At 41.2% G+C, this 15,168-nt stretch overlaps 1 long non-coding RNA gene across 7 annotated transcripts in view, besides 2 other annotated features; it reads right to left on the reverse strand.

Moving 5' to 3' along the window:
- The window catches only part of MIR100HG (mir-100-let-7a-2-mir-125b-1 cluster host gene), a 394,543-nt gene that overhangs the window by 163,286 nt on the left and 216,089 nt on the right, over positions 1-15,168 (reverse strand). For 3 of the 7 annotated variants that reach the window (NR_137181.1, NR_137182.1, NR_024430.2), the window contains exon 1: positions 11,150-11,495. The exons of the other annotated variants lie outside the window; for them this stretch is intronic. This is a non-coding gene — a long non-coding RNA (mir-100-let-7a-2-mir-125b-1 cluster host gene). Of the gene's footprint in view, positions 1-11,149; positions 11,496-15,168 lie in introns of those variants that run through there. 7 annotated transcript variants of the gene reach the window in all.
- Positions 5,164-6,363: an enhancer, noted in NCBI's record as "P300/CBP strongly-dependent group 1 enhancer chr11:122067486-122068685 (GRCh37/hg19 assembly coordinates)". NCBI's record gives its function as "activates an origin of replication core promoter dependent on BRD2, BRD4, P300/CBP, MED14 and CDK7 cofactors, with strong dependence on P300/CBP, by STARR-seq in HCT116 cells {active_cell/tissue: HCT116}" and the evidence as "EXISTENCE:reporter gene assay evidence [ECO:0000049][PMID:35650434]".
- Positions 11,566-11,775: an enhancer, noted in NCBI's record as "active region_5665". NCBI's record gives its function as "activates an Ori minimal core promoter by ATAC-STARR-seq in GM12878 lymphoblastoid cells {active_cell/tissue: GM12878}" and the evidence as "EXISTENCE:reporter gene assay evidence [ECO:0000049][PMID:35858748]".

Raw genomic sequence — 15,168 nt, forward strand, 5'->3', positions numbered from 1 at the left:
ACTACCAACTGGCCATAACTTCAAGCCCATAGCTGGGAGTGATGGGCCTCCACTTTCAGCTTCCTTGAATTCATCATTAAGCAAGAGTGAGTGACAAATCTCTAATGTTTCTTTTGATGCTTTTCAGGGCCACGTTCACAGCCACATGGAAAAGCACTGGCGTCACTCTCCTCTATAATGATCAGCTCAGTGTTGGTATCAGTGGGAACGAGGGAGACAAAGCAGGGGTTTCTTCCCACAAGATGGCCAAGGGCTGTCTAGAACTGATGGAGCACGTGGAGTGAAGGATCATTTACACTGCATGCCTGAACACACTGTGTCAATTACATTTTAGTATTTCACCCATAGTCTTTGAAAAGCACTCAAAAGAGTTCAGATTCTTTTAGTGGGTCGTTCTGTATCTGTTAGATGTTCCTTGCCCTTGCCTACATCTGACCAGAGTATAAGACTAATGAAATCAAACTTCTCTAAAGGCCACTTGTATGAGTGTGACTTTAAAATGCTGCCATTGCTTATGGTCATTTAAAGAGGAGGAAATGGAGACAGTGAAGAGAAAGTTGCACCACTTAGAGTTCTATTTTGAGACAGAAATCCTCAAGTAAAACTTCTGTCTACAGGAATGCAGTTTTCTTAGGAGAGAGTTTACTTCTAAATTAGCACACCTGAACTACTTAATTCCTAACACATCACACGTACCGCTGAATCAGACGGCCTACCCTGAAGGGCTGTTTTTCTGCCCTATCCTAAGAGTCAGAAATGTGTAAAAAGACACAGTCAACTCATTAACACATTTGCATTTTTCAATAGCATTAACCAAGATTTTTATAAAAAGTATATGTATAAATATGTAAAATTAACATATTTTTAATGTAAATATTGTATCATTGCATGTAAGTATACTTATGCTTCTTTTTATATCATCCAAATATCTTTATCAATGAAGAATTCTCTATTTTACAGGTAAACAGTTTTAATGAACAAACTAATGTTTGTGTAGTGCTTTACAGTTTACAAGTCTTATTTTATCTTCAATACAACTCTGAGAGTTGAATCTTAGTGTCTTCATTTCATGATGTAGAAATTAAAGATTGAGAAAATATCACCAGGCTAGTAATTGGCAGAGTGAGACTGAAACCCAGACTTTTTTTTATCTCAGATTTAGCACTGTCATTTCTCAAGGAGTGAGTCAGAACCCACATTTTCTGAGAGATTTCCAGAATAAGTGCATGGTGATCCGTTCTATACTCGTAGTTCATTGTACTGCAAAATTAGTACTTGATTGGAAACTGTCTTATTGTCCAACTACTTCATGTGTCTCTGTCTTATCTATCACACCCAAACATAAGCCTTTTATTATGTTGCTCTTTGGGGCATCCCCTGACTTCCTCATGTGCTGTTCTTACTGCAGAGAATGCTCTCTCCTTTCAGACCCCACACAACAAGGCTCAATCATATTCAACAGGACTCAGGCTAGGGGTGGTGCCTTTCCCTTCTTGGAAACTCTTGCTGGCATTCTCAACCGTCATCCTTGCTCCAGGAAGGAGACTCTCCTATATGCTCCTATAGCATCCAGAGCTGACATCTGTAATGGATTCATCCCACTGTCTTGCACTGCCAGTGTCTATTTATCATGCATTTCCCACATGACCTTCACCACCTTGAGAACAGGAATCTTATGTTACTTCTCTTTGAATCCTCAGAACCTACCACATAGTAGGCTATTAATAACTGATAAATAAATAATTGAATAAATAAAGTAACATAAAACCAATTAAGGCAGTTAGTTAATGTCTTTGAGGAGTTCTCAGGCTCATGGGAAGAAGAATCTGTAAAGAGAACAGGACAAGCAACACAGCAAGGTGTACTTCCCCAGTACACAGATGGATTCAGGTGCCTTGGGGGCATACACAAGAAGGGACAGTGCTGCCCTGCCAGTCAGGCCTCAGAGAAAGCAAAGTTGAACAGAGTCTTGAAAGGAGAGTAGAAAGTCACCAGTGTTTGTGGAGCTGAGAGAAGTAGGGTCGGAGTAGGCAGCATGAAGAGAAGGCAGGCTTTAGCAAGGCTCTATTTTATCTTGGCTGTGTAACAACCCTTTCTCTGGGGGAGCTGACCTTCACTGCATCCAACCTTAGGGTTCTATAGCAGCTGCCAGTCATGTTTCTTGTTTCCCTGGCTCAGAGGACTTCCCAGAGGTTTTGCACATTTTTCCAGCCTCATGGAGGAAGGTCTAAGAGAATAAAGCTGACCCAGAGAGAGAAGCTTAGGGCAAAGTGGGAGGAAGTGCCTGGATCCCTGATTCTAGTAATTTCTGGAGCCTGGTGTACCCAGCCCTTTCCAGAGTTTGGTTTGTTACCTAACTAAATTAAGCTGGGTTTCTTTCACTTGCAAACACAAGAGTACTGACCAAAAGTAAAACCTTAAAAGTGGCCGGGCGCAGTGACTCACACCTGTAATCCCAGCACTTTGAGAGGCTGAGGCAGATGGATCACTTGAGGTCAGGAGTTCAAGACCAGCCTGGCCAACATGATGAAACCCTGTCTCTACTAAAACTACAAAAATTAGCTGGGTGTAGCAGCGTGTACCTGTAGCCCCAGCTACTCAGGAGCCTGAGGCACAAGAATCACTTAAACCCAGATGGCAGAGGTTGCAGTGAGCTGAGATCATGCCACTGTACTCCAGCCTCAGCAACAGAGCAAGACTCAGTCAAAAAAACAAAACAAACAAAAAAACCCCACCTTAATAATATCTCCTGTGGGCTGGGCATGGTGACACACGCCTGTAATCCCAGCACTTTGGAAGGCCGAAGCAGGAGGATCACTTGAGCCCAGGAGTTCAAGACCAGCCTAGGCAACATAGTGAGACCCTATCTCTACACAAAATAAAACAATTAGCTGTGTGTGATGGCATACACCTGTAGTCCCAGTTACTCAGGAGGCTGAGCTGGGAGGATCACTTGAGCCCAGGAGTTTGAGGCTGCAGTGAGCTATGATCGCACCACTGTACTCCAGCCTGGGTGACAGAGTGAGACCTTGTCTCTAAATAAGATTAACAACAACGAATCTCCCCTATAGCATGCACATAGAGATAGTCACAAAGTAGCTACTCAAGAGTTTGTTCCTCAAATGGATCTTTTCCCATATCTGTTCAATCCTTTCATTTAAAGATGGAGACACAGACTTAAGTACCTTTTCCAAAGCCACTCATTCTACTCATAACAGATTTTATCCTAGTGCCTGACTTTTCTTCCCAGAACAGAGCTCCATCCACCAAATACTGCTTCCTTTGCTTTTTGCTGGCTAATTAGCCTTAAGGTAAGAGGTGATCATGGGATTCATATTTGATGAAAAAAAATCAAAATGAACAAAGAATTCATGAAATGACTATAAAGTGATGAAATTATGGTTTTTTATTCATTTAACAAATAGCCCCCACATACATCTGTCTCTGTGGTAGGCGGGTATTCTGGGATAAACAAGACATGCTCCTTGACCTCAAGTAAGTTCACTAAGTGGAGGGAGGAACTGTACAACTTACCAGAGCTTCATATATCTTCAAATCAGCAATCTGGGAGAATATATACTTATTATTTTTTCATTTGCTGGTAAGTCCCTTTGAACCAGTTATGAGTCAAACAAAAATGTCAGCTTATGATTTTATAAGTGCATTTAAATTCTTTTTTAAAATTTTTTTTTAGATGGAGTCTTGCTCTGTTGCCCAGGCTGGAGTGCAGTGGCATGATCTCGACTCACTGCAACCTCTGCCTCCTGAGTTCAAGCAATCCTCCTGCCTCAGCTGCCCAAGTAGCTGGGACTACAGGCGTGTGCCACCATGCCCAGCTAATTTTTGTATCTTTAGTAGAGATGGGGTTTCACCATATTGGCCAGGCTGGTCTCGAACTCCTGATCTGCCTGCCTTGGCCTCCCAAAGTGCTGGGATTACAGGTGTGAGCCACCGCGCCCGGCCTTAAATTCATTTTTAATCAAAAATGGTATCATGCAGCTGGACCAATTGAATATGGCACTTGGGTTTTTTTGAAAACACAAAATAGCCTCAAAAGACAATGAATTTCTTCCACTAAGTATATTGAAAGAATATGCTGTAGATTCTTAGGTCTGCTATAAAACAGGAGGTTCAAAGATGTTTTGCCCGAGGCTAGGCAGCATCACTGCCCTGAAAGTAACTATACTATTCAAGATGAGTATGTTTGTATGCATTTGTTAAAATAATGAGTTCTAGAATTTATATTAAATTTCCAGACAGGCCTAGAGGCAGATGCCAGGATCGCCTTAAGTCACCTTGATGCCCTTCCAGCTCTGTGATTCTACGATTGCTTATACTGGATTTCTCCAACCCTGTGATGGGCTGAAGAGCTATTTCTGTCCTAGTTCTTTGCCTTATATAGGTCAAATCCCATTCCAATGAGTACCATAACAATAACCACCTCATGGCCTGGTTATTTTAGACAACCTGATAAAATAAGAATCAAGTATGACCTCCAAACCGAAGTTGGCTGTTACAGAATTTGACCTGAATATTACTTAAGCAAGGAGGTGGCCAGTGTCTTAGGTTTTCATCTTCATGGCACTGAACCATTGCAAAACAGTTAGATTGAAGGTACCAAGAATCTATTAGTGAAACCAAACAACTGTACCCAGAGTCCCTTAGTCAGTGACTCCATGTGCCTGATAGATACTACAAAATCAGAATGTCAGGGGACTGAATGCTATGAATTTCCATGTAAGAATGGTCTCCAACTTATGTGTATCCACTATAGCCAAAGAGTGTCAGGGCAATTGTCCATCTTAATTCAGGGCTATTAATAAGCCTTATTTTCATATTGGGCATCCCAAACCTAAGGTTTCTTCTCCAGTCTCTCCCAGGAAGCTAGATTCATGCTTCTTTTTGCATATATTGTTCCTGCTTGAAACAGGTGTTAGTTATTGCTCTCTGAAACGTACCTTTACAAGAGTGTAAAGACCCCGAGGGTACATATGTTTTTGGTTGATTCCCAGCTATGCTTAATATCTGGGTCCTCTCATTAGAATTTAAGTTCCACAAAAGCGTAAAATCTCATGCCTAGAACAGTGCCTAGCGCATAGTAAGTGCTTGATAATTATTTGTTGAAATAATGAATGAATAATGATGGATAGTTATTCTTTAAGACCCAATTCCAATGCCACCTGTCCCCTCCCAAAGCAGCTATGTGTCTCTCCTCTGATCCTTTAGTACTGTTTGCATTTCTCTATAATAATACTTACAGGATACTCTCTTAATTGTTTATATCTGTTTTCCCAATTAAGCTGGGGAATATTTTATGGCCGGAACTATGTTTTATAATGCCATATGCTTTGTGCCTAAAACAATAGAAGTTCAATAAATGCTTATTGCTTGAACGGCTGAAAGAATGAATAAAAATATTTCTCTTGTCATGATAAATGCTAAAGATTTGTGATCTAACCTTATACCTCAAATTTTGCCTGGACTCAAGAGCTTTCCATGGATCAAACTGATGAAGCCATGAGTCACTGGGCTTGGAGGGAGGGGTGTTTGTTTGTAGAGGATTTGCTTCCCGACCTCGATGAATCACATGTATAATCACCCAAACTGCATCCTGTCTGGGGAAGTAACCAAAACCCCTATTTCTGGCCCCAATGGCTTTTTGGTTTTATGAGTAAATGCCACTGGCATGTCATTAAATAAATGCCCTCAGAAAGTCCTCAGCCAGTGCTATAACCTACAATAGTCAGGGTTGTGACAGAGAAGCAGTCTTGAAATTAGAGCGCAAGGCGGAGGAGGTACCTTTTTCACCTGGCGTCTTTCTGGTGACCTGCCTCAAAGTTCTTTTCCAATATCGGTCACACTCTACTCCCAGTCACAGGTGTGATCATGTAATTCTCCTGCACACAAAGAATCAATGGCTCTCACTATCTACAGAATAAAGACCAAACTTCTTAACTTACAATCCAAGGCCCTCCAGAATCTGGTTCCATCCTGTTTTACCTCCCTCATCTTCTTCTATTCCCATATAACCATACGTTCCACAAACACCGAACAATTTTCGGAACACATCCAAATCCTGCTCTTTGCTCTTATGCTTTTGTTCCCTCCTAGAATGCCACCCCTCCCATTTTCAGATGCCCAACACTTGTGTATTCTTCAAGTCTCACAAAATGCCACTTCCTCCATAATGTCCTCCGTGATTGTCTAAGGAAGAATGACTTCTCCATTGAGCATACCTAAGATTTTATCTGTACTCCCATCCCATTGCTTATTTCTAATAACACATAGGCACATGTTTGTTTCTCTAATCAATTTTCTTAGTCAATGTGATACTCCAACTCTTACCAGTGCCTGCCGCAATGGACACTCAAAATAAAAGTTGGTTGAATAAAAAAATTGAATTAGTTCAATTGTTTAAATCCTTATCTTTGTCTTGGAATCTTCAGGAAAGGTTCGATGTAAAAATTTCTTATTCTTATTTATCTCATTTTATCCCTCACCCCTTTCCAAGAAAACATGAGATTAAGAAAAGCTTTGGTCCCAGCAAACAACTGTTGTTTTATATCTATGAATCTCAAAGGCAAGGTTTTCATTCCAGGCTTCCTTCCTCTTCATATCTAGCACTTTGGGGCCCACTTTGCTAATAGATGTCCTAAGCTCGAGGGGAAAATATAATTTTGATATTAACTTGAATAAAAAAGAAACATAACAAAGAGAGGATTTACTGTTTCAAAATGCAAACTTTTAAAAAGATAGTGTATTCCAAAAACAAAGACTTTTCTGTTATCTGCTGTTTTGGAATATTCATGCCACAGTGCCAATTTCAGCGTGGATGCATTCCTTTCAGTATGGATAAGTGAAAGTTCATGCAGTAAAGTTTAGCTTTGACTGCAAACCACTTTGCTTTCCTTTCTGTTTATTAGTATAACTCTGGTTATGAGAATAAGGACATAGAAGCAGACAAGGCTAAAATCACCCCAGCCAAGTTCAGATAATGAGAGAAAAGAATGTCAAGAGTTTTATTTTCTCTACTGTCTTTGGGCAATGGTCATATCTAGGTGGATAAAAGAGACAGACAGCCATTATTGCAGTTTGAGAGCCATCTCCTTTCCTGCTTCTTGAAAGCCGCCACTGGGGCAGCATTCTTCCTTCGTTAGAGGTCAAGTCCTCCCTATACCACTTTATGGCTGAGTGACTATAGAAAAGTCAGCAACTGGTCATCGGAGAAATGCAAATCAAAACCGCAATGAGATACCATCTCACACCAGTTAGAATGGCGATCATTAAAAAGTCAGGAAACAACAGGTGCTGGAGAGGATGTGGAGAAATAAGAACGCTTTTACACTGTTGGTGGGACTGTAAACTAGTTCAACCATTGTGGAAGACCATGTGGCGATTCCTCAAGGATCTAGAACTAGAAATACCATTTGACCCAGTGATCCCATTACTGGGTATATACCCAAAGGATTATAAATCATGCTACTATAAAGACACATGCACACGTATGTTTATTGTGGCACTATTCACAATAGCAAAGACTTGGAACCAACCCAATGTCCAACAATGATAGACTGGATTAAGAAAATGTGGCACATATACAACATGGACTACTATGCAGCCACAAAAAAGGATGAGTTCATGTCCTTTGTAGTGACATGGTTGAAGCTGGAAACCATCATTCTGAGCAAACTATCACAAGGATAGAAAACCAAACACCGCATGTTCTCACTCATAGGTGGGAATTGAACAATGAGAACACTTGGACACAGGGTGGGGAACATCACACACCGGGGCCTGTCATGGGGTGGGGGCAGTGGGGACAGATAGCATTAGGAGGAATACCTAATGTGAATGACGAGTTAATGGGTGCAGCACACCAACATGACACATGTATACATATGTAACAAACCTGCACGTTGTGCACTTGTACCCTAGAACTTAAAGTATAATTTAAAAGAAGAAGAAAAGTCGGCAATTTCTTCATCAGTTAAGTGAAGATAATAATACCTATTACAACATAACATGGTCAGACTTTGTAAACTCTAAAGTGCTGTTCAAAGATTAGCTACTGTTATAAATTCAAAGATGAATTGTTTTTTTTTTTTCATTACCTAACACAGGGGTTGGCAGACGCTTTTTGTAAGAGAATGATAATAACATTTTAAGATTCGTGGACCATGTGGTGTCTGTTGTAACAACTCCATTCTGCCTCTGTATTAGGAAAGCAGCCAAAGACAATATCTAAATGAATGGATGGGCTTTGTTCCAACAAAACTTTATTTATAACAGGTAGTGGACCAGATTTGGCCCATGGGACACATTTGCAAATCTCTGCCCTACTCCTTTGGTGAGAACGAAACACTAGAGGCAGAGGGGAATATCTAAACTCTGTTTGTGGCATGAAGAGTAATATAGTTGGGTTTTGTGAACAGTTGCCTTGAGGCTTTCAAATATCTTTTTAAGGTACTCTCTTTAACATTAGAGTTTTAATTTTGTACATTATCACCACCATCTTCATCATCATCAATATCATTCTGTACCTATCTGAGAAGTATTACCAAGAGAGGTATAAAAGAACCCTAGTTTTCTATACCTATCACTTGACCATACTCTGTTCTGGGAAAGACAGCTCTGATTATTGTTAAAGAAAATATCAATCATACTTGTGGTGAAAGGTCGCTACATTTTTTAACAAATTGGTCCTTTGAGCAAGATGAATTTTAATGGATTGGTTTATTAACCTAAAGGTTGAACCAGACTGAGAGTAACTGAATGATTTGCTCATAATTAGTATTATTTATAATTATTTTACTTGGGAAAAAATATCACCTTAAATGTCAGGATGTTTTTTAATTGCTTCAGATGAGATTCAAAATAATTGACTTCGCAAATTTATTTTTAAAAACTCATTTAAAAACATCTGAAGCTGTTGACAGTCTGTCTAGAAGAGGCAAGATATTGATATTCATTACTAGGAACAGGGCAGAAATTGATCCATCATTTTTTTAACCACATGAATTGTGCATTGTGGTCACTTCTGGACTCTGAAATAGCTGCAATGCTGATAGAGTGATGCGTTTGTTCCTCTCCCCCATTAAATCTGCTATCTAAGCGAAGATGCTGTGTGTGTGGATGTAGGTATTATGTTTCTTGCTCAAATACATATTTACATATATTTTTATTAAAAGGGGAATAGGCACATGGGCGAAAAAAGGATGTATATATGTATTTAGTATTTTTAGAAAAATACAAATAGTCTATGTACACATTGCGCATCCATTCATGTGACTTACATAGGATACTAACTTTTTGATGGTGAGTAGGTATATGACAAATTTAGCATCTTTATAAATATTTGATTTATCAGTTGATTGGTGGAAATGAAAAAAAGTAAGGGACTATATTAACAGCTGGGGAAAGACAGCTTTTCAAATAATTTTAATTGTGCAATACGGGTAAATCACTAGTAAGAAACATGCAGCAGAATAATGACTATAAAACCTTATAATTATACAGCACTTGGATAGTCAGGAACTGTTGGTGTGTGCAGTATAATCACATGTGCTCCTTACATCTATATTTGGATGCACGAAGGAAGGATGGTAACAGTTTCATTTGACAGATGAGCAAGAGAAGTCAAGTGATTTTCCCACCATCTACATTGCCTTCCCCATACACCACATGGCCTCTGGAACCCGAGCGAAGGGTGAGTGCATCTATAGGCATCAAAGCCAACTTCAGTCTTCGCAGGCAGAATCAACCAGCCAGATCCAGTGTGCAGAACCCAATTTTCATCCAAGACATTTCAAGGAACTAAGTAACAAATGACCCAGACCAAAAACAAACAAACAAACAAAAAAAAAAGCAAACACATTTCAGGCAGTGAATATAGTGATGGGATGATTAACTGATTAACAGAGTCTCTTATTTGCTTCTTCCAAGCATATTTAGTCTGATCATGTGCCTGAGACATGGTGTGACATTTGCTCTGGCAGCAGTGTCCAGGACACAGACAAATCACTCATCAGTCAGGTAGCCAGGCAGACACCATCAATCATTATCTGCATGTTTGAGAAATACAAAACTGTAGCTGAGGTCGGGGAAAAGAACATTTGATGGTGGCTAAAAGGTAAGTATACAAAGATTCCTATTTATCTCCCAAAGAGGTTACTCTAACATGTGCTGTGGAAATAGAGTCATAAATTCTAAATTTTCTCACAGATAGGAGGTTAAGGCTAATATATCTATATAACGTATATGTTATATATTATCTGATTCTTCATATATATATATATATATATATATATATATATATATATATATATCTCCACAGCTCAGTAGGCAAACCCGCTGTTGAGGATAGGAAGAATATATTAACTGATTAATTATTATTAATGCCATCTTTTATTTAACTAGCAATTGTAATCTATTAAGAGCATTCATTCACACTATCTGACTTATTCAACCCTCAGAAAAACCCTGTAGGGCTCATAAGTAATATATTATTATCTTCCTTTTATAGACAAAGGAAAAGGAAACTCAGATATTTCCTTTCTTAAGCTAATCTCACCAGCAAGTGGCAAAGCCTGGACTAGAACACGGAATTTCTGACTCCTATTCCATTACCTAGAGCGACTGTGGAAGAGCCGAAGGAAGAAAGGGAAAGTGTGAAACATGAGTTCCGAGCAGAGAGGACCTGAAAACACACTCAGACCAGAATTCCTTCTAGTTTGGGTTAAAGTCCGGAGTGGGTGTGGCTATACGACACACAACCAGAATGATTAGATTGACTTTCTGGCACACCTACTCACTTTGAATTTTCTTGTGCAACTGAGCCTTTTGTGTCAATCTCCCATCCTCTCCTGCCTTGTGAAGTTTCTGGGGTGGCCGAGTTGGAACCAACTTCAAACCCTCTTATGTCTCTGATTCACTTTCCAAACCCTCCCTCTCCCACTCCGTGGTCAGCCTTTTGTATCACACCCTGCAAACATTTTTTTCTTTTGCGCTCCTTTGGGACTCCTCCCTCTTCTCTCCCTCCATCTCCCAACTCCTCTGCACTGCCTTTCCCCTTTAATCTCTGCTGACCACCTTTTGTGAATGCTCCATCCGCTCCTCCCCCCGTCACGACTGTCCTCTTGCGGGTACCTACCTGTGTGCTCTGCAGCCACACGCACCTCCTGGTTGCCCCTCAGATGTCTTGGTTCTGTCTGTCTGATGTCGCCAGCCTCCACCCGGGGCCTGTGAGCTGTGCATGTCTTCAAGCTCTTTGTTACTATTCCTCCTTAATTTATAATGCTAGGCAAATAACAACACACAATAAAAGATGATATCAGCTGTGTTTCTCGCCTGCAGCCTCCAGAAGTGTTATCTTAGACCCCATCATTGCAACAAAGAAATCTCTCAGTTGAGTGAGTGAAAACCAGTTACAGGACAGGAGGAGAAAACTTCTGCGCTTCCAAAATTCCGCAGCCCCAGCTGCCCTCCGGCGGCTCCCCCTTGTGGGAGATGTGGGGCATAGCAAGGCAGTGCCCAGTTGGGACGGTGCCTGGGTGGGAGGAGGGCGAGAGAAGAGTGCTCGCACTCAGGGATGTGCCCCAGAGGGCGTGGGGTCCGGTTCCGGCCACGAAGAACAGCCTCTGTGTGAGTTGCAGGACTGAGGTCCTCTGCAATTTCTCAGGGAAATACTTCCGGGAGACGCAGTCCTCAGTGCCTGGAGGTCTCTGGGTCCAGGTGAGTGTGGTGTGAGTAATAAGCCTGCATGGCTTACGCGCTGCATGGGAAGTCCTGTATCACAATCACAACGTATCATAAAGTCGGAGGTTCACACAGGGCTGTTCCGAGAGGTAAGGCGTGGTCTCCAGTCTCTGAGTAAAAGACTTGATGGTCCAGTCTCCTGGATTCTCTTGCCACCGTGGACACTTGGCCTTTCGGTCCCTCTAGAGCTCTGGACACATACTGCTCCCCACCTTAGTGAAAACAGACTGTATGTCCAAATAGTATCTTTCTCCAGAGGAACACGGTCTCATTTATACTAACCCACCCTGGCAGATATCACTGTCATCCTCCTCCTCCTCCTCCTCATTTGAGTGTCATACAGCTTCTTTTGCTTACGGTTATTATTGTTTTGTTTTTTAATCTTTATTACTGTAGTGTCTATGTTGCTTATGGAGAAACAGCTCATGAAGTAGCTGTGGTTTTTAACAAATGGAGCTTTATTATTTTATTCCAAGTTCAATCTTCACGTATGGTTCAGTATAGAGCTGCCACCAACATCAGAAAGGTAGTGGAGTTTAATAGAGTCCAGTGGAAATTGGTCTGAGATTTGTTTTGCTGAAATTAAGGACTCCCTTGCCAGGACTGCTGGAAGAGTCAATGAGACAATATGACGTGGCAAAACAAGCTCTAGGCTTCAACAGATCTAGACTCGATACCTATCTCTGCTACTTATTTTATGCTCAATTAACTACTCTCACCTCAGTTTCTTTGTCCATAAAATGGAGTTAACTTAGTTTCACAAGCAAGATCTCACAACTGGTATGATGGCAGAATGAAATAATACGTCACAAACCACATGCTCACCTACAGTTCAGTGGCAGAGCACGGTTGTCATTCTGGAAAGTTTCTTTGTTTGGATTCCAGTAACTGTGCTGATAAATAGAGAGCATCCCACTAGGCCTATTGGTTGTTTCCTCCACGTTTGACATCATGACCAGTTTTCTCCTGCAGACTCGGTCTGGGTCTCTCTGTCTGTGTCACACCCAGCATACTGTTCTCACAGAGGGGGAGCCAATCAATACTCCTTAATGGTGTGGCTCAATGCCCTGTACTGAGGATGATCAGTGAGTGTCACTCCCACTTTTCTCCAGAGACAGGACATAGTCTAGACATACGGTGCAGGAGGAGGTCAGGAACCCTGGGTTCTGATCTTAGCTCCACTTACTAGTGCATTGGAAATGATACTTGAAGTTGCACGAGTCTCTGATTCTGCTGCAGCTACTTTATGAGCTCTTTCTCCATAACTAACATTGGTATTACAGGAATAAAGACAAAAGACAGCAATAACTTTAAGCAAAAGAAGTTGTGTGCCACTTAAATGATGACGATGATGATGAGGAGGAGGATGACAAAGCAGAAGAAAGTATGTCAATGATGATATTGCTATGAACCATAAACTCACTAAATATTTCTCAGACCTATGTTGGGCCTAGGGCTGAATATGAAAGGGTTAAACTGCCCTGAAGATAATTAAGCCCTGTTACAAACTCAAGTTAAAAAAAAACAAACAAAAACAAAAAACAAAACAAAACAAAAAAACAGCCATAAGGATTTAGAGAAATCAAGAAAAGCAGCAAAAACATTCCCTTTCACGCAAACAGATCTAAAACTGAGAACCTTTAGTGACAAGCCCGCTGTGAAAGATGGGATCAAAATCCAGAATTACTTCTACAGGAGTAAGTATCAGAGGGTCTGGAGCATACGTGTCCCCATCAGGGACACGGGGTCATGAGTGGAGAAACAGGAAAATGAGTGGTGAGGGAAGGAGAGTCTTGTTCCCCTTTGGATTGGCAGAGCATTCCATTCTGCTCTGCACCCGACACCAGGAAAAATGCAGGACCCAGACAATAGGACAACAAAGATGAAGCAACCGTGTCATGAGGAACTTGAAGAACTGGAAATATTTAGGCAGATAAAGATGCAACTCTGTAATTGCTGTCTTTGAATATTTAAAGGACTCTTAATTAGAAAAGGGTGGGATTTGCTCCACCCAGCTTCAGGAAATAGAATGAAACTAATGGAGAGACACGTCAAAGAGAAATATTTCCGATCCACTATAAGAAAAATATTCTGGTAGTTTAGTCCAGATTTGGAAAGGTCACTTTGTGTCTGGAGAAGGCTGTGAGGGCTCTGTCATTGGACATTCTTTGGCCAAATGCAGGGCCAGCCATGGAGGCTGCCTGCACTGAGACAACCTTTGGGGATCCTTCTAGCTCTTGGACTATTTGAGTCTATGAACGATCTGGGATCCAAAAGGAGAAACTAGACAAAAGAAGCATGTGACATCCTCACACAGAGCATTTTAACTCCTGCTGAGGGATCTCCTGGTCTAACACATTAGATGATCAGATAAATCCAAAGTGTGCTTGCAACCTTTTCCTCTCTTTCCCTTGAACAGCACTATTTCTTTAACTATCACAGGTAAGTCCAAGAGTTAGGTATCTCCCAGGTGGGGCAAATGGCCTTTAGTATAGTGGAAAACACACAAGAAAAGGCAAAACTCTTACACTGAATGATCAGTTTAAGGAGAATCGCAGGTTTTAAAAGAGATGATGTTTAGAAGCCATCTTATCAAATATCTCCCCCAATGTCTGAATTCCACCCATATCTTCCCTGATCGAGTGGTTGTCTGATCTCTGTTTGAACTCAGCCTCTGAAGTCAATTTGATTGGAGGCCATTCTGATTGGGCTCAAGAATAAGCAAAACACACACATAGAAAATGCAATCAGCAAGACATGGATGCAAGGGAAAAGGCACCTTTGGTATAGTACCAGAATACAAGGCAGAACCTAAAGCTAATTAGAATTTCTTGAAGTCAGAATTACAGTAAATTTTAAAAGCCCTACCTACAGTTTGAGGAGACATACTTGGGACACACAGTACCAGTAAAAATTGTAGGTGACGTTGTTGCCTTTTCTGCAATCTTTTGCGTCTATGTGTGAGCCTTACATGGCAGGCTGGGAAGGCATAAGAATAGGGGTAGGGGCGGTTGAAAGGGTGCAGGTTGCTAAAAAGGAAGGAACTACGGGGCTTTGGGCGGGGCTGGTATGTGGTATGCGTTTGGAGTTGCTTTCATGATATTATCCTGGACAGAGTTGCAAAAAAGGGTGCAAAGCCGATGAGGGTGTCAGATAAGAGAAATGGAGCATTCGAGAATTGACTTCTGATTGAGCAGAGGGAACACTGAGCTCAGACAAAGGAGACAAAAAGAGTTTAGGGATGAAGGAAAAGGGAGAAACATTTAGAGGTAGGAAGATGTGAAGGGAGAAACTGCATAGGAGGTCTAAGATATCTGGGACATTTCCAAGACCATCACGGGGTCTCAAGGGGCGATGAGAGGCAGGAAAAAGGGTAAATGCTGAGGAGGAAGAAGGAGGCCGGGCACTGAAAGA

Source organism: Homo sapiens, chromosome 11 (genome assembly GCF_000001405.40).
Source record: "Homo sapiens chromosome 11, GRCh38.p14 Primary Assembly".
NCBI classification, from domain to species: Eukaryota; Metazoa; Chordata; class Mammalia; order Primates; family Hominidae; genus Homo; species Homo sapiens.